Genomic DNA, 19,330 nt, shown 5'->3' on the forward strand with positions numbered 1-19,330 from the left:
CCACACTGTCTTGATTACTATAGCTTTGTAGTAAGTTTTGAAATCAAGAAGTATGAGGCCTCCAAATTTGTTCATTTTTTCAAGATTGTTTTAGCTATTCTGAGTCCATTGCATTTCTATATGAATTTTAGAATCAGTCTGTTAATTTTTGCAAAGAAGGCAGCTGGGATTTTGATATGGATTGTATTCAATCTGTAAATAAATTTGGGAAGTATTGCTGTCTTAACAATATTAAATCTTCCAATTCATGAACATGGGGTGTCTTCCATTTATTTAGGTTTTCTTTAATTGCTTCAAGCAATGTTTTTTGTTGTTGTTGTTTGTTTGTTTTTTGAGACATGGTCTTGCTGTGTCACCCAAGCTGGATTGCAGTGATGCAAGCATGGCTCACTGCAGCCTCAACCTCCCAGGCTTAGACAGTCCTGCCCAGCCTCTCTAGTAGCTGGAATCACAGGCGCATGCCACCACGACCGGGTAATTTTTAAATTATTTGTAGAGAGAGGGTTTCCCTATGGTGCCCAGGCTGGTTTCCAACTCCTGAGCTTAAGTCATCCTCCTGTCTGCTGCTCCCAAAGTGCTAAGATTACAGGTGTGAGCCACTGCTCCTGGCCTTGCAGTTTTTATAGTATAAGTTGTCTCAGTCCGTTTTGTATTGCTGTAAAGCAGGGGTCCCCAACCCCTGGGCCTATTAGGAATGGGCCACACAGCAGGAGGTGAGCAGCAGGGTGAACGAGCATTACTGCCTGAGCTCCACCTCCTCTCAGATCAGCGATGGCATTAGATTCTCATAGGAGTGCGAACCCTGTTGTGAAAGGCACATACCGGGGATCTAGGTTTTGCACTCCTTGTGAGAATCTAATGCCTGATGATCTGAGCTGGAACAGTTTTATCCCAAAACCATACCCCTACCTCCCATCTCCCCGGTCCATGGAAAAATTGTCTTCCATGAAACCGGTCCCTGGTGCCAAAAAGGTTGGGGACCACTGCTGTAAAGGAATACCTGAGGCTGGGTAATTCTAAAGAAAAAAGGTTTATTTGGCTCACAATTCTATAGGCTGTAGTAGAAGCATGGCACAGGCATCTGTTTCTGGTGAGGGCATCAGGGAGCTTCCAATTATGGCAGAAGGCAAAGGTGGAGCAGGTGTGTCACATGGTGAGAGACGAGAAGGAGAAAGAGAGAAAGAGAAAAGGAGGCGCTGGGCTCTTTAATAATCAGATCTGAGGAGAGCTAATAGAATGAGAACTCACTCATTACCTTCAGGACAGCAACAAGCCGTTCATGAGGGATCCACCCCCGTGACCCAGACACCTCCCACTAGGCCTCACCTACAACACTGGGAATCAAATTTTAACATGAGATTTGCAGGGGACAAATATCCGAACTACATCAACATCTTATATTTCTTTTGTTAAATTATTTCCTAAATATTTTATTTTTTGATACTGTTATAAATGGAATTGTTTTCTTAATTTTTTTTGGAATTTTCATTGCAAGTGTGTAGAAATACAATTGATTTTTACACATTGATCTTGCATCCTATAGCCTTGTTGGTTTCATTTATAGTTTTTTGGTGGATTCCGTAGGACTTTCTATATGAAAGATTATGTCATCTGCAAATAGAGATAGTTTTACTTCCTTTCCAATAGGGATACCTTTTATTTCTTTTCTTGCCAGTTACCTTGGTTAAAACTTCTAGAACAGTGTTGAGTAGAAGTCGCAAGAGCTGACATTTTTGTCTCGTTCTTGACCTTAGGGTGAAAACATTCAGTCTTTTATCATTAAGTATGACGTCAGCTGTGAGTTTTTCATAAATGCCCTTTATTGAGGAAGTTCTCTTCTAGTCCTAGTTTGCTTAGTGTTTTTATCATAAAAGAGTGTTGGATTTTGTCAAATGCTTTTTCTGTGTGTATTGAGATGATCATGTGTGTTTTGTCCTCTGTTCTGTTGATTGTTGTGTATTATATTAATTGATTTTCAGATGTTAAAGCAACCTTGCATTCCTGGGATAGATCCTGTTTGTTTGTGGTGTATAATCCTTTTTATGTGTTGCTGGATTTGGTTTACTAGTATTCTGTTGAGGATTTTTGCATCTATATTCAATAAAAGATGCTGGTCTGTAGTTTTTTTTTCCCCCTTGTGATTCCTTTGTTTGGTTTTGGCACCAGAGTAATATTGGCATGATGGAGTGAGTTGGAAAGTGCTTCTTCCCTCGGTATTTTTTGGAAAAGTTTACAAGCAATTGGTATTAATTCTTTAAATGTTTGGTAGAATTCATCAGTCTGGTCCAGGTCTTTTCTTTGGAGGAAGTTTTAAATTTACCAGTTTAATCTCTGCCTGTTTTAGATTCATTCAGATTTTCTGTTTCCTCTTGAGTTGGTTTCAGTAGTTTGTGTCTTTCTTGGAATTGATCTATTTTATCGAAATTGTCTAATTTGTTAGCTTACAGTTACTTATAGTATTTTTTCTTATTTTTTAATGGCATTAATAAGCCCTACTGTGCCTTTTACACAGGGTTGATTTGAGGATCAAGTTAGGTAATGTTTATGGAAGTGCTTTGAAGGCTATATAAGTATGAAGTATTTTATTTGTTCTAAATTTTTAATTATAGGAAAACAGTTGTTCTAGAACAAATTTTCATTAAATTTCTTTGCATTTTTCACACTCAATGTCAAGAGTAGCCCACTGTTAGCACTGTTGCAATTTTTTTTTTTCTTTTTGGGATGGAATTTCGCTCTTGTCACCCAGGCTGAGTTCAGTGGCGCCATCTTGGCTCACTGCAACCCTCCGCCTCCCGGGTTCAAGCAATTATCCTGCCTCAGCCTCCCAAGTAGCTGGGATTACAGGCACCTGCCACCATGCCTGGCTAATTTTTTGTATTTTTAGTAGAGATGGGGTTTTGCCATGTTGGCCAGCCTGGTCTCAAACTCCTGACCTCAGGTGATCCACCAACCTCGGCCTCCCAAAGTGCTGGGATTACAGGCGTGAGCCACTGTGCCCGGCCTGTTGCAATTTTTTATTTTTCAGATGGGTTCTCACTCTTTTTCCCAGCCTGGAGTGCAGTGGCACTATCACAGCTCACTGCAACCTCAACCTCCTAGGCTTAAGCGATCCTCCTGCCTCAGCCTCCTGAGTAGCTAGGACTGCAGGCAAACACCACTGTACTCAGCTAATTTTTAATTTTTTTGTAGAATCAGGGTCTCCCTGTGTTGTCCAGGCTGGTCTCAAACTCCTGGGCCCAAGTGATCCCCCCTACTTAGCCTCCCAACTGTCTACAGTTTATGAAGTTAACATTTGTGATTTGCTCCTCTTTTGTGAGTTGCACTTGAGGGGAGAGATTATTGCCCTTGTTACCAAAGGAATATGAACTAAGATTGAGTTGAAAGGGCAATTAAAGTGATTTTTGGACCTATTTCCCTATTTCTTGAGAGATAGCAGAACATAGATCCTATAGTATCAGGCTCAAAGGGCATCAGTGCCCCATTAGAAAGTCATCTTTGGGCTCTGACCCATTTGTTCCTGGCTAGCATTGAGAGCAGCTGTTTCCTTTCCTCCCTGAGGAATCACTGAGCGTGGTCTATTCTTTGGCTTCCTAACCTCTCTCATAGCACATACCTTAGATGAATTATCTGCATTCCCACCTCTTCCCAGCTTACTTCTAAGTCAATAATAAAGGTCCTTTAAAAACACAAATCAGTTGGCTTTCAAAAATAAAGCATCATTTTTTCTAGAGCTTTCTTCTTTTGCTGAATACGAAAACAAATGTAAAAAGGAAGTAACTCATTGAGAAAGGGAAGCTGGTGACACAGGAAATGACTCCTTTAAAAGCAGAAGTCCAGCTGCAGGGTTTTCTGTGCAAATGTGTTGTGGGCCTTGAGGTGGCAGTCCTATGAGGCGGTGGTAGGGCTTTCCCCTGATTCAGTACTCAGCTGGTCCCAAGGGGCTTTGAGTGTGGCTTTTGCCTCCTTAACTGGATGCTGAATAGGCTCCTTGCACTTATTTTGGGACTCCGTTGTGCCTGTGCCCAGCACAGGGTGTGCTGCTGGTGGTAAGGACCTGTGCTTGGTTGGTTGGTTGCTTGGTTGGTTGGTTGGTTGGTTGGTGATCTGAGAAGATAACTCTGTGGTTCAATTTTAGGGCTTCAGGTCCTGGCAAAACTGCCAGTTTAAATGAATTACAGAGTGCCGACATTGAACATCTGGTTTGGATCTTTATTAGAATTTCTTAATACTATGGCTTACAGTCAATTGCTTTTATATGTTTGTAAAATTTCACCATTAGTGCTGAGCCTTCCAAATTTGTGGCATCCTTTGTGTGTCTTATGTGGCCCTTAGTGGCAGAGATGCACACTTGGGGCTTGGATTCAGCAATCTAGGCCACTGCCTTGGTAACCAGGGCTTCTATTCTCTAGTTGTCAGAGGCTTGCTTAGTATAAGACATATTGCAACCTGGGCAGTTGTGTGAAGCTGTGAGGTCACCTCCACTAATGAGGACAGAGTAGAGGAGCGAGGGGATAATTCTATCTGTTTGAGATACCTGGCCCCAGTGTGGTCGTGTGGGTTCCCTGTCTGACTTCTGGGTGCTCAGAAGCATGGCCCCGGGGGTCTGTAGAGACATGCCATCTGCTTCCATCCTGGCTCCATGCCTGCCTGCTCTCAGTGGTGTGACAGTACAGAGCAATGACCTTGACTCCGTCATGCCATCAGCAGGAACCCTGGAGCCCTTCCCTGGTTTATGGTCCACTTGGGTTTTCTCAGGTTCATCCTGTGAATGAAGAGAAATTGGATGAACGAAGATAGCTCTAGAATTAATTGAGGGGGGGCTCTCTAGCATGATTGAGTCATGGTCTGCCTGTGTGTGTGTGTATGTGTGTGTGTGTGAGAGAGAGAGAAAGAGAGAGAGGGAGAGAGAGAGAAAATAAATTCCATCCCTCTGTCTTGGGAGGAGAAAGAGGGATGGGGCTGGCTAGGTTGAGGATGGGGTCCTGTGATGAAATGGAAGCAGAGGAGAAGTGGGTAGAAGGGGACTTGGTTTTGGGTAAGAAGATATTTTTGTGCTTGCTAAGAAGGATTCTAGGCCTGTTTCTTACTGCTCAGTAGACTGTGTTCATGTATCAGTGGCTAACCTGTACTTGTGGAATATGCGGTTCTCTTCTATACCAGTTCTCTGATTCTCCAGCCCCAGCTGGGTTTTCAAAAACTCAGTTCTATTCTGATACTTACTTTCTCGAGTTAGCCTCAGACTCCACAGGCTTAAGGGCTCAATCTCACAAAACTGCTCTCGCTTCAGATGCTAATTGCAAGTCCCAGATCCCAGTCATCTGCACTTGTGTCTGACTTGGCTACAAATTTTGGAGTTTTCATACCCTCGCCCAGGTTTGATAATTCATTAGAATAACTCCGAGAATTCAGGAAAATGCTAAAGTTTACTGGTTTGTTATAAAGGATACAACTCAGAAATAGCCACATGGAAGAGCTGGGTGTAAGGAGTGTGCAGAGCTTCCATGCCCTCTCTGGGAATGCCATTCTCCATGCACATCTAAGCGTTTGCCAGCCCACAAGCTCTCTGAAGCTCATACTTCCGAGAGTTTTTATAACTTGGTCTTCAGCCCCCTTCCCTTCCCCAGAGATGGAGGTGGAGAGGGCTGAAAATTCCCATCTTCTAATCATGCATTTGGTCTTTCTGGTCGTCAGCCCCCATCCTGAAGCCACTTGGATATGAGATATTGTTTATGTGTTTTGAGGTCAGAAAGAGAGCCAGCGTGTGTATGTGAGAATACAGGAGACTTGTCCAAATTCTGGCAGCTTTCTCAATTATATGTCAGCTGTCTAGAAACCCGTAAAAAGGGCTGTCTATCTAAAGGAGAGGAAGTGGTGGACGAATCTGAAAGGAGCTCTTAGACAATGTTTTGCCATACAGTTAAAATCTGGGAGGGAAAAGTCAAGCATAGCTGAGAATAATGCCAAATCTGAAGTGTTAATGCACATTGTTTTCCAAGTGGTTGCTGTTTTATCTCTTCTTAAATGAGATTCTACATGTAAAAGCAGCTAACCAGTTGATTCTCAGTATGTTAGCTGAATACATTTCTCTGAAGTTTCAAAAATATTTTGTGATAACATTTCCCCTCTTCTAAGACTTTCAAGTTTTTTCATAGATTTGAATTTTAACCCAGTATATTTTCAACATAACAGGGTACAAACTAGAATATTAAGCTGTTTCCCTCAATCCTTAAAATTTTGCATTCCATACCTTTTCTTTTAAAAATACAGAGAGGGAGAGAACTCTTTTTACTGCAAATAGTCTTTATCCTGAATAAGCATAAAAAGCATCTACTGTTTAAGATCACCCGTGGGCGATTCACACAACCTTTTAGATTTAGGGAAGGCTGACTATTGAAAGGAAGAGTTTCATTAACAGCAACAAATGGGCCAGAAGTGGAAATTTTGGTCTATTTGTGGATTTCCTCTGTGTTTGCTTTTAATTCATCTACTGATCTAATCTCTGTCTGTATTCACCAAGCCGCCAGGCAATGCTGTGCTTGTCAGAATCAAACTCATCAAACTCCTTCTAGAGAGAGAGCCTTTCAGTGCCCTGGAAGAAGGTTTTTAGGGAACACAGGATTTCTGTAAAAATGGAAAGGCACATGAAGGTAGGTTAGTTACATAACAGTGCTTTCAGATGAAAAGCAAGGCCTGACAGCTGTGGCCCAAACTCTTCATTATGGGAGATTGGGACCTGGAGCCTACTGAGGATCTGGGTATGTAACTTCTTATAAAAGTGACTTGTGGTGTGATACTTGAAGTTTAGGTTCTTTCCTTTCCTTTTTCTTTTCATTTCCCAGGGACTTGCTCTGTTGTCCAGGCTGGAGTGCAGTGGTGTGATCATAGATTACCGCAGCCTCCAACTTCTGGACTCAAGTGGTCCTCCCATCTCAGCCTCCTGAATAGCTGGAACTACAAGCATGTGCCACCACACTTGGCTAATTTACTTTTATTTTTTGTAGAGATGGGGTTTCACCATGTTTCCCAGGTTGATCTTGAACTCCTGGGCTCAAGGAACACCCCCTACTTTGGCCTCCCAAAGTGTTGGGATTACAGGCGTGAGCTGCTGGTCCTGGCCTAGTGTTTTAGGGCAGCACTAGGTATATGGGGTTAGCTGGTACTGAGACACTTGCTGATAGTGTAAATGCAAATAGAATCTTACCCAAACATACCTTTTCAAGTTATGTGGTTAGTTTGTTTTTCTCTTTTTTTTTATTCTCAGGGCTCCCCAAACTGGTTTAAGTAAATGAGCATTCTTCTCCCACCCACCGCCTCTGCTTGTTTGGACCTTCTCTTGGTGACTGAAGATGCCAGACTGAGATATGGGGTCTGCAGTGACTTGGTATAGGGCTGGGCAAGTTTATTTACCTGGCACCTGCCCCGAGCTGGCCAAGAAATGACTGGGCCGGGGGTGTATTTTCAGTGGAGTTCCTTCAGCCCTCTGCCCAGCCTGGGGACTGAGCGGGGTGGTGTTTGTTTTCCTTCTGCATTCCACCATGACAGGGCCATGCGTTTTACAATGTAGCAGATAAGGCTCCCTATCACTGATGCTAACTTTGCATAAATCTCTTGATTCCCAGCTGCTTGACTGATGTAGGAACACAAGTACCAGTGAGAGGAGCATGTGGGGGTGAAGCCATCTCATACAGTACTACCCTTCCTAGGTGTAGAGTGAGGAGATGTGCCACGGCTGTTGACCCTTCTTAAACTGCAGAGCGTTTGATGTCCAGGGACAGTTGTTGGGGCAGGGTCAGACTTAGAGCTTTTGTCTTGTGCTGAGATGTGCTCCTTTTTCTTTCCTCCCCCTTCCCTAGCTCTTGGACGGCTTTGCCCCATCACTGATTGGTGCACACCCCCTTTTGAGAATCTCAGGGACTCAGTTTGGTAAAAGCAGCTGGTGGAGATGATGGAGAGAGGAGGAAGACTCTTAAAGGAGTGGGTATATGTGGAAGAATGAGGGAAAGGCCCTGTCCTTGTGTTATGGAGATTAGGGTAGAAATAGAAAGCTAGGAGAGAGTTTGGCAAAAGGTGATTCTCATAGACTCCTTTCTTTGGGGGCTGTGGGACTGATGGTGAAGGAGTCTGGGTAACAGGAAAAAAAAGAACCCCAAGAGGTGGATGAGTGTGGGACCTACAGAAGGAGGGGAAAAGGGCTTCTCAGCTCCTGACAGCTGAGTGTTGGTAGCGCTTTACTTCCCTTCCCTTTAACCCTTAGGTTTTCTGGAAGCTGTAGGGAAAGAACACATAGCCCTGGATATTCTGGCTCTGGGATCCTATGAAGGAGAATGGTAGTAAATGTTTAGGAGTCCATGACAAAAAGAGTGGGAGAGAAATTATGTAACTGTAAAAAAACTTTAAAAAACTAGGATCCGCTTCCAACACTACATACAAAAGTAGAACTTCTATTTCCATTGCCCAGATAAAGGACTATCAAGATTTTGCCATACTTGCTTCCACCATCCTCTTTTTCTTTTTTTCTTTTTTTTCATTTTGTTACTTAGGTATTTTTAAAAGCAAATTCCAGATATCATGTCATGATACCACCTATGATCATGTCATTATACCTGTGATGTAATTATCAATAATATTACTCTTTTAATTTAAAAATATATTTAAAATTCAGGTTTTATCTTACATTAGATTCATATTTTTTAGGTAAACTTTTTTTTAAATAAACTTCTGGCTGGGTGCAGTGGCTGACACCTGTAGTCTTAGCATTTTGGGAAGCTAAGGCAGAAAGATCAGTTGAGGCCAGGAGTTTGAGACCAGCGTGGACAACATAATAAGACCCCATTTCTACAAATTCTTTTTTTTAATTAGCTGGGCACACTGGCTGTATGCCTGTTGTCTCAGTTTCTCAGGAGGGTGAGGCAGGAGGATTGTCTGAGCATAGGAGGTTGAGGCTGCAGTGACCTACGAGTGCTCCGTTGTACTCTAGCCTGGGTGACAGAGCAAGACCCTGTCTCCAAAAAATAAATAAATATTTAAAATTTAAAATTAGGATTTAAAATATGTTAAAGCTCAAAGATGAAAGTGTAGAATGGATATCACTTATTATTATGTAGTATTCAGTGTGAATTACGATGATCACATCTATATCCATGGCTCTGGTGATGTCAAATATTATTCCCAGCCCAGATTTCTTCTCTGAACATACTTCTACTTATTCAACATCTCTGCTTCAAAATCCCAAAACAGGCCAGGCATGGTGGCTCACACCTGTAATACTATCCCTCTGGGAGACTGAAGTAGGAGGATGATGTGGGCCCAGGAGTTTGAGACTAGCCTAGGCAACGTAGTGCGACCCCGCCATCTGTACATACAAATTAAAAACTAGCTGGGTGTGGTGGTGTGCCTGTAGTCCCAGCTACTTGGGAGGCTGAGGAGGGAGGAAAAGTTGAGCCCAGGAGGTCGAGATTGGAGTGAGCCGGGATCACGCTACAGTATTCAAGCCTGGGTGACAGAGTGAGACCCTGTCTCTAAAATAAATAAAGTATAACAATGTATTTAAGCTATGTTTAAAATTTTTTTGAAATGAAATATGGAATGATTAAAAAAAAAAAAACCTGAAACAGATCTCAACATGTCCAAGGCTAAACCCATGGCCCCACTCCAACTAGTCCCCAAGCATTCACTAGTATTTCCTGAATCTCACTGAATGGCACTAGTCTTCTAGTTTCAAAGGCTAAAACTTACAAATCATCTTTGCTACCTCCTCCTACTTCAGTCCTGTATCCAGCTTATCACCCAGCCTTATCAGTCTCACCTCATTTCCTCTCTAGAGCATAACTTCTCCTCCTGTTGTGGGAAGTCAGGGACCCTGAACGGAGGGACTGGAAGAACATAAATCGTGAAGATTTCATGGATATTTATCAGTTCCCAAAATTAATACTTTTATAATTTCTTATGCCTGTCTTTACTGCAATCTCTGAACATAAATTGTGAAGATTTCATGGACATTTATCAGTTCCCAAATAATACTCTTATAATTTCTTATGCCTGTCTTACTTTAATCTCTTAATCCTGTTATCTTCGTAAGCTGAGGATGTATATCACGTCAGGACCACTATTGTACAAATTGATTGTGAAGCATGTGTGTTTAAACAATATGAAATCAGTGCACCTTGAAAAAGAACAGAATAACAGCGATTTTCCGGGAACAAGGGAAGACAACCATAAGGTCTGACTGCCTGTGGGGTCGGGCAGAATAGAGCCATATTTTTCTTCTTGCAGAGAGCCTATAAACGGACATGCAAGTAGGAGAGAGATTGCTGAATTCTTTTCCCAGCAAGGAATATTAATAATTAATACCCTGGGGAAAGAATGCATTCCTGGGGGGAGGTCTATAAATGGCCGCTCTGGGAGTCTCTGTCTTATGCGGTTGAGATAAGGACTGAAATACGCTGTGGTCTCCTGCAGTACCCTCAGGCTTACTAGGATTGGGAAATTCCAGCCTGGTAAATTTTGGTCAGACCGGTTCTCTGCTCTCGAACCCTGTTTTCTGTTAAGATGTTTATCAAGACAATATGTGCATAGCTGAACATAGACTCTCATCAGTAATTCTAATTTTGCCGTTTGCCTTGTGATCTTTGCTTTGCCCCTTGCCTTGTGATCTTTATTGGCCTCAGAAGCATGTGATCTTTGTGACCTACTCCCTGTTCGTACACCCCCTCCCCTTTTGAAATCCTTAATAAAAACATGCTGGTTTTGCAGCTCAGGGGACATCATGGACCTACCGATATGTGATGTCACCCCCGGCGGCGGCCCAGCTGTAAAATTCCTCTCTTTATACTCTTTTTATATCTCAGACTGGCCGACACTTAGGAAAAATAGAAAGAACCTACGTTGAAATATTGGGGGTGGATTCCCCCAATACTTCCTATTCATTAGCATCACCCTTGTCAAAGCCCCTAGAATAAAATACTAGCAGTTTCACATGTTCCATTTTTACACTCTTTAATCCTTTTCCACATTGCAACTGGGGTCTGTTCAAAATATAAACCTGAGTATATTCTCTGCTGCTTAAAAACTCATGGCTTCCTGTTGCTCTTAGAATAGAACCAGATTCTTGACAAGGCCTGCAAGGCTCTGTGAGCATGGTGCCTTTCTATTTCCCATCCTCATTTTTCCCCTTCATTCTTTCAGTATTATTTAATCAATATCTCTCTTTCCTGCTAGTCTCTAAACTGCATGAGAACAGAGCCCTCCTCTTTTTTGCTTGCTGTTACGTCCCCAGTGCCAAGCACAGAGCCCAGTACATAAAAATACTTAGGTATTTGTTGAATGACTGAGTGAACATGTGAGTGAAATGGAGGGGTGAACCATTCCTGATGGATAGGGAGCTGGCTTCTCTTTGCACTCATTGCATGATTGTTTGTTTTCTCTTATATTGAGTTGAAATCCACTTTCCTCTTAATAGTTGTGCATATGATCCAAATTTTTTCCCTTTACCTCAAACGCCCTTAAAATTTTTGTAGACTCTATCATGTTTCTTAGTTTTCTAGACTAAATATCTTAGACTAATTGTTTACAGATACACCACCTTGATCCACATTCCTCTAAGGACGTCCATTTTTGTTCACAATTTTTTTAAGATGAGGAGCTCAGAACTGAATTCAGAATCTAACTGAATTCACAATCTCAGATGTTATGTGATCAAGGAGACTACAAGAAACTGTTATGGCCATGAAGAGATGAATTTAACATATGGTTTAGCACCCAGGCCTTAGAGTTTCGACAGATTTGGTAAAATCTGTCATTAGTGGTAAAGACTGATGTCTTGGTTCAATAAGATAGTCCCGGTGAGCTCTTAGTAGCCCATTGCCTAGTCCATCCAAACCCTCAGTGCATTTTACTCAATCCTGTTGTCATTGATGTTTCTGTTTATCTGTTAATAGGATCTGAGATTGCATATGCTTTGTGCTCAGTTATGCCACCATGGGTTGTATTGAGTTGCAATCACATGTTAACTCCAATCACATGTTAGAAAATGTTGACTGGTTGCTCAGGTAGGTCTCTCATCCTGTACTTATATGCAGGTTTTCTCTTCACCTCTGGGCTCCTTGAAGACATTGCATAGGACATGGTTGTAATGCCCATCCTTTCATATCAGAAGGGTTTATGTGTTTGTCTCTCGTTAGGTGACATCAGTTGATCTCAGAATCTTGGGACTTGAGTTCTCTGTGCACTTTAGTTTGAATACATTTGGTCTCGGCAGAAATCCACTCACACTAGCTCAAATATGTATACATCATTGAGAAAGGGGCGTTTCATAGAAATTAAGCTGGGGCAGTGTAGGTAGGCCTTTGTGGGCATTGAAAAGTCCTCAGGTACCTCCATTCTCTATCACTTGTCCACTGGGATAGGATGGTCTTCTGTCTTTATTTTATCCTGACCTCAGCCTCCTACAGATCTACTTACTGTCTTAATTCAGATTCTTGAGAGAGAGAATCTGTTATTTGTGTCACTTGGATAATCAAATAGAACTTATTTAGGAAAAGACTAAGTAGAACAAGGGTCTACTGCAGTATATCTGATGTGATATTAATATTCTGTAGGTCCAGAGGAGCCATTGGACATCAACAGCTTAAATGTTAGGGATGCAAATGGGTACTGAGTTCCCAGGCACAGTCTGATAGTTTCAGGGTCAGAATTTTATGCAGTGATCAGATTTGAATGTTTGGAAGTTAAAAATACAGTCATTCACCATATAATGATGTTTTGATCAACGACTGACTGCATATATGATGTGATCATGTAAGATTATAATACCATATTTTTACTGTACCTTTTCTGTGTTTAGATACACAAATACTTAGCATTGTGTTACCATTGCCTACAGTATTCAGTACGGTAACATGCTGTTCAGGTTTGTAGCCTAGGAGCAATAGGCTATACCATAGGTATGTAGTAAATATACCATCTAGGTTTGTGTCAGGTACACTCTATAATGATCACACAGTGACCCGCACAATGATGAAATCACCTAATGACAGATTTCTCAGAATCCGTTGTTAAGCAACACATAACTGTATTCCCTATTCCACAGAACAGGGTTTAAATAATCAGACTGTTTCAAAAATAAATGGAAAACCTCTCATGTCTGGCCTAGAATCACCTCTCTATAGACAGAAGTACTAAAAGAACCAAATAAAAAATCCATTGGAAAACAAACCCACAGCAAATGAAAGGAGGTAGTTCTTGTCCTAACATTTAATATAGGCTAATTAGTTTATGGGTAAATACAGTTTATAAATTGTACACAAGAAAATACACATGTAATACCAATATTTTAGAAGTAGAATTTTTATTTTTAGCAAATCCATCATGATTTACTTAGGTAACAAGTTCTTCCAGTATATCAGTTTGATTTATAGTAAAATGTAGTGTAAAATAGTTTTCTAGATGGAGAAACAGTGGCTCCGGACCATTTCTTGCTTGTCAGCATATGGAAAGGGTGGCTCTCCCACCATGCCACACCATCCACTCCTGCTGGGCGCACCAGGATAAAGATGTTAAAATACAACCTCTTGTATAGGGTTTTCAAGATCTGTTACTTAGAGTGGGATCATCTGTGGTACAACTGAGAGATGCTGAAGTTCTCCTTAAAAGGTCACGTGTATTAAGTTCCTAGAACGCCTGTTCATCTCCACTTATTTCCATATCACCATTTTTAGAGATGCACTTCCCACTTTAACCATAGTTTTCAAAATCTTAAGGCAGTGGAACCTTTTCCTCAAAAAACAAAAATTATGTGGACTCTAACATATAATAGATTTTTTGTTTGTTTGTTTGTTTTTGAGACAGAGTTTCACTCTTGTTGCCCAGACTGGAGTGCAGTGGTGCGATCTCGGCTCACTGCAACCTCTGCCTCCCAGGTTCAAGCGATTCTCCTGTTTCAGCCTCCCAAGAAACTGAGATTACAGGCATGCGCCACCATGCCCAGCTAATTTTGTATTTTTAGTAGAGATGGGGTTTCACCATGTTGGCCAGGCTGGTTTCGAACCCCTGACCACAGGTGATCTGCCCGCCTCGGCCTCCCAAAGTGCTGGGATTACAGGTGTGAGTCACCGTGCCCGGCAATGTATAATAGATTTTAAGGTGATATATATTATAGTTGTAAAGATTAAAAACATTAGTTTTAAAAACAGTGGGATTTGTGAGATTGAAACATGCAAAATAACTAAATCAGAGTCTAATTAAAAACTAAGCCGGATGTGGTGGCATGCACCTGTAATCCCAGCTACTCAGGAGGCTGAGGCGGGAGGATGACTTGAGCCCAGGAGTTCAAGATCAGCCTAGGCAACGTAGTGAGACCATGTTTAAAAAAAAAAAAAAAAAAGAATAAAATTTATTTCAGTAGTGTTTGGATTACATGTTATTGAAAGAACCTTGATTTATGCAGGTCAGTAGTTGCAGATAAGTTTTTAAATAATTCAGCTTAGTACCTGAGAGCGTGCCTTAATTAAACTATTCCAAAAGTCTGTAAGAGGAGCAGAGGGGAATTTGTGTTTCAGATTTGAGTTATTAACAATATCTAACAATTCATCCAATTTATTAATTTTATAGATGTAAATTTTAGAAATAGTACATAAAGTGGTTCCTCATGAGTTTAAATCTTTTTGGTAGAAAATACAAAACTAAGATATTTAGAAGTATCATTTTAAAAAAATCTCAGATAATTTAGTGCTGTGTCTGTTAAATAGTCACTGTTAAAAGGCACATTTCCTGTTCTGGATGTTCTCAGATTCTCCAGCACCAACTGGGTTTCCAAAAATTCAGTTCATTTCTTAAACTATCTGTCCTTAGTGCAGACCCCACAAGTTAAGGTCTCAGTCCCACGAGACTGCCGCCACTTCAGATACCAGTCACAAGTCTCAGTGCTTCTGAGCAACTGGCTATAAATTTGGGGATTCTCATAACTCCTCTTCTCAGTTTCAGTAATTTGCTAGAACAACTCACAGAACTCAGGAAAATACTTATATTTACTGGCTTATTGTGAAGGATACAACTCAGGAACTGTCAAATGCAAGGGATACATAGGGCAAGGTATCCCCATACCTGCAGGGGTGCAGAGCTTCCACTCCCTCTGGGCACACCACCCTCCCAGTAAGTCAACATGTTCACCAACCTGGAAGCTCCCTGTCCCTGTCATTTAGGGGTATTTATAGAGGTTTCATCATGTAGGTGTGATTGATTAAATTATTGGCCTTGGTGATTGAGCTCATTTTCCACCCTTTCTCCCCTCCCTGGAAGGAGTGGGGACGGTGCTGAAAGTTGCAACCCTCTAATCTTGGCTTGGTCTTTCTGGTGACCAGCCCATTCCCGCAGCTGTCAAGGGACCCCCAGCACCCAGTCATTCATTAACACACAAAAGACACTCTGACCAGTCAGGAGGTTCCAGGGGTTGTAGGAGCTCTGTGCCAGGAACTGAGGACAAAGACAAAATACGTATTTTTATTATACCACCTGTGTTGAATCTAAAAAGCTGACAATAAGCACCAAAACTTAAAAGGAGTGATAACTATCTAAACCTTGATATAATCAAGACTCATTGTTGTACAACTGGCCTGTCTTTTAACTGAGCCAGTTGTACATGGAAACACATGGATATTTGCAGCCTTAGGGTGCTGATGGCTTGTTTTTAGTTGTCTGCCTCCGCATCATCAGCACAAAGAAACAATAACACATTTATAACAGTTCACATACATGGACAGAGATAATAGACTCTGTACACATAAGTGAAATTGTCAGTACAGTTTAAAATGTTCTTGTTAAAATTTTGTGTGTATTGCAGTTGAGTTTTTAAACTTTTTATTTATGAAAAGTTTCACAACTGTATGACAGAGAAAATAGTACAATGAAAACTCCCATATACCTATTCCTGGACAACAGTTACCAAGATTTTGCCATACTTACTATCTCTTTTTTAAAAAATCCTTTTGAAATATGTTAAACCAAATTCTGATTATGAAGCACTGAGACGTTTTAACACATTTTAGTATTAATAATAGTTAAACATATATTTAAAAGAAAAATTTTAATTGGACATTTGTAGAATATCTGAAGTATGTTTGTGAAGTATAATTTGTAAACCAGTACCCAATAATAATCATAGAAGATTCATGAGAAAGGTGTGTGAATGCTTTAAAAAAGCTATTCCAAATCCCAGCTACTTGGGCAGCTGAGATGGGAGAATTGCTTGAGCCCCAGAGTTTGAGGCTGCAGTGAGCTGTGATCACACCACTGCACTCCAGCCTGGGCAACAGAGTGAGAGACCCCTAAAAAAAAAAAAAAAAAAAAAAAAAAAACAGGCTGGACGCAGTGGCTTATACCTGTGACCCCAGTGCTTTGGGAGACCAAGGCAGGCAGATTGCTTGAGCCCAGTGAGACCAGCCTGGGCAACTTGGCTGTCCTGTCTCTACATAAAAAATAAATTAAAATAAAAATTAGCCAAGCTTAGTGGCTCATGACTGTGGTCCCGGTTACTTGGGAGGCTGAGGTGGGAGGATCACTTGAGCCTGGGGAAGTCAAGGCTGCAGTGAGCCATGATCAGGCCACTGCACTCCAGCCTGGGTAACAGAGACACTGTGTCAAGAAAAACAAAAATAAAAACTATAGCTATGATATTCCAGTGGTACTTGACTCTGATCCTGGATTAGGATTAGGAAGTAGGATTAGAGGGTCATCTTTTAATTTCCTTTAAAATCATGAGATATTATAACCAATTCACTGAGTTTTTCTGTGCTACTCTTGTTTCAGATATCTACGTTAGGAAATCACTTTTTGCTTTAACGAAATTACCTCATTCACACCTTCCTAATATTTGCAGCACTTATCCTAGTAAGACCACAATTAAAAAGGATTTTTATTTTTCACAAGTGATTTAGAGAATTCCTGGTCCGACTTAGAGACAGAGGTTCTAAAGAAAAAATAACTTTATTGTTTTACAATTTGTGTCTTAGTAAAATAAGGGCTATTTGTTTTAAAGCCATTTCCATATCTGGTTTTTCAAATTAGCTTTCTTATTTGGTTCTTTTAGTTTTTAGGTCTACAGAGAGATGATTCTGAGCTGGTCACAGTAGATTTTTTAAATTTATTTTTGAAACAGTCTTTTTAAATTCTGTTCTGTGGATACATGGCTTTTTTTTTTTCTTCTTTTTTTTTTCTTTGAGACAGAGTCTAGGCTGGAATGCAGTGGCGCAATCTCGGCTCACTGCAGCCTCCATCTCCCGGGTTCAAGTGATTCTCCTGCCTCAGCCTCCTGAGTGACTGGGACTACAGGCGTGTGCCACCATGTCTAGCTAATTTTTGTATTTTTAGTAGAGATGGGGTTTCACCATGTTGGCCAGGATGGTCTCAATCTCTTGACCTCATGATGTGCCCGTCTTGGCCTCCCAAGATACTTATGTTTTTAACATTCAAAGATTCAGATCTGTTCACTGCATAAAGTTCTGACCCTGAAGCTGTCAGGCTGTGCTTAGGAACTGTCTCAGCACCAATCTGCCTCCCTGCACCATAGCTGTTGGTTTCTAAATACTCCTCCAGACCAGTTTTACCCTACAGAATGTTAACATCACATAATAATACATTGCAGCAGACTCTTGCTCTATTTATCCTTTTTCTAAATAGCTCTTTTGGTGTACTTACTATTCGTATCACTTGGATAATGCACATACACAACTTGGGATAGGAAAATTCATTTTAGGGTGTTGTGCCAGCTCTTCTCTTTCAGGCTGTGCTGCCATCCTTCCTGAACTTTAGAGATGCTTAATAAAAGCAAAGAGGGAAGAACTTGCTATTTGTTTATATGAATTCAGGTAAGAGAGGATACTTACCAGTGACAGATAATTCTTTAATAGATGGTTTTTGTGTTTCATTTTAGAATCACAAGAAGCTGATGAACAGCTTGTAGCAGAAGTGGTTGAAAAATGTTCATCTAAGACTTGTTCTAAACCTTCAGAAAATGAAGTGCCACAGCAGGCCATTGACTCTCACTCAGTCAAGAATTTCAGAGAAGAACCTGAACATGATTTTAGCAAAATTTCCATCGTGAGGCCATTTTCAATAGAAACGAAGGATTCCACGGATATCTCGGCAGTCCTCGGAACAAAAGCAGCTCATGGCTGTGTAACTGCAGTCTCAGGCAAGGCTCTGCCTTCCAGCCCGCCAGACGCCCTCCAGGACGAGGCGATGACAGAAGGCAGCATGGGGGTCACCCTCGAGGCCTCCGCAGAAGCTGATCTAAAAGCTGGCAACTCCTGTCCAGAGCTTGTGCCCAGCAGAAGAAGCAAGCTGAGAAAGCCCAAGCCTGTCCCCCTGAGGAAGAAAGCAATTGGAGGAGAGTTCTCAGACACCAACGCTGCTGTGGAGGGCACACCTCTCCCCAAGGCATCCTATCACTTCAGTCCTGAAGAGTTGGATGAGAACACAAGTCCTTTGCTAGGAGATGCCAGGTTCCAGAAGTCTCCCCCTGACCTTAAAGAAACTCCCGGCACTCTCAGTAGTGACACCAACGACTCAGGGGTTGAGCTGGGGGAGGAGTCGAGGAGCTCACCTCTCAAGCTTGAGTTTGATTTCACAGAAGATACAGGAAACATAGAGGCCAGGAAAGCCCTTCCAAGGAAGCTTGGCAGGAAACTGGGTAGCACACTGACTCCCAAGATACAAAAAGATGGCATCAGTAAGTCAGCAGGTTTAGAACAGCCTACAGACCCAGTGGCACGAGACGGGCCTCTCTCCCAAACATCTTCCAAGCCAGATCCTAGTCAGTGGGAAAGCCCCAGCTTCAACCCCTTTGGGAGCCACTCTGTTCTGCAGAACTCCCCACCCCTCTCTTCTGAGGGCTCCTACCACTTTGACCCAGATAACTTTGACGAATCCATGGATCCCTTTAAACCAACTACGACCTTAACAAGCAGTGACTTTTGTTCTCCCACTGGTAATCACGTTAATGAAATCTTAGAATCACCCAAGAAGGCAAAGTCGCGTTTAATAACGTGAGTGACAGTGGGCGCTGGGTGTCGTGCTCTGTGTCTTGTCTGTTGAGTTTGGCAGCCAGCTACTTTTGGCTTTGGTGAACTGAATTTACCTTTGAGGTGCACCGAGGTTCATACAAAGCTTATAATGTTATCCTGCAGTCTTCACTGTTTGGCTTAACTGTTGTGTGGAATCAGAAATACCAGAGGTTTCCTTTTCAGATTGTTGTCTTTTTTCTGAATCCTTAGCTTAATCAGCTAAGCTCTTTTCCCTTGACCCTAGAGACTTTTTTATGTTTAAAAAAAATAGACCA

The 19,330-nt window shown here is 41.6% G+C and overlaps 1 protein-coding gene across 53 annotated transcripts in view, besides 3 other annotated features; it reads left to right on the forward strand.

Annotated features, from left to right (window-relative positions):
• The window catches only part of TACC1 (transforming acidic coiled-coil containing protein 1), a 124,447-nt gene that overhangs the window by 73,017 nt on the left and 32,100 nt on the right, over positions 1 to 19,330 (forward strand). For 43 of the 53 annotated variants that reach the window (NR_148050.2, XM_047422141.1, XM_047422142.1 and 40 more), the window contains one exon: positions 17,924 to 19,037. The exons of 7 other annotated variants lie outside the window; for them this stretch is intronic. Coding sequence is in view for 45 of the 46 variants with exons in the window: in XM_047422141.1 (XP_047278097.1) it covers positions 17,924 to 19,037 (1,114 nt within the window). In the remaining variant the exon portion in view is untranslated. Of the gene's footprint in view, positions 1 to 3,851; positions 4,047 to 17,923; positions 19,038 to 19,330 lie in introns of those variants that run through there. 3 more of the 53 variants (NM_001352791.1, XM_047422151.1, NM_001352802.1) reach the window with 1 other exon arrangement.
• Positions 3,687 to 3,746: an enhancer, noted in NCBI's record as "active region_27261". NCBI's record gives its function as "activates an Ori minimal core promoter by ATAC-STARR-seq in GM12878 lymphoblastoid cells {active_cell/tissue: GM12878}" and the evidence as "EXISTENCE:reporter gene assay evidence [ECO:0000049][PMID:35858748]".
• Positions 4,097 to 4,146: an enhancer, noted in NCBI's record as "active region_27262". NCBI's record gives its function as "activates an Ori minimal core promoter by ATAC-STARR-seq in GM12878 lymphoblastoid cells {active_cell/tissue: GM12878}" and the evidence as "EXISTENCE:reporter gene assay evidence [ECO:0000049][PMID:35858748]".
• Positions 5,117 to 5,308: a silencer, noted in NCBI's record as "fragment chr8:38664233-38664424 (GRCh37/hg19 assembly coordinates)". NCBI's record gives its function as "represses an EF-1alpha promoter that drives an FKBP-Casp9 reporter gene in an ReSE screen in K562 erythroleukemia cells {active_cell/tissue: K562}" and the evidence as "EXISTENCE:reporter gene assay evidence [ECO:0000049][PMID:32094911]".

This window comes from Homo sapiens, chromosome 8 (assembly GCF_000001405.40).
Source record: "Homo sapiens chromosome 8, GRCh38.p14 Primary Assembly".
NCBI classification, from domain to species: domain Eukaryota; kingdom Metazoa; phylum Chordata; class Mammalia; order Primates; family Hominidae; genus Homo; species Homo sapiens.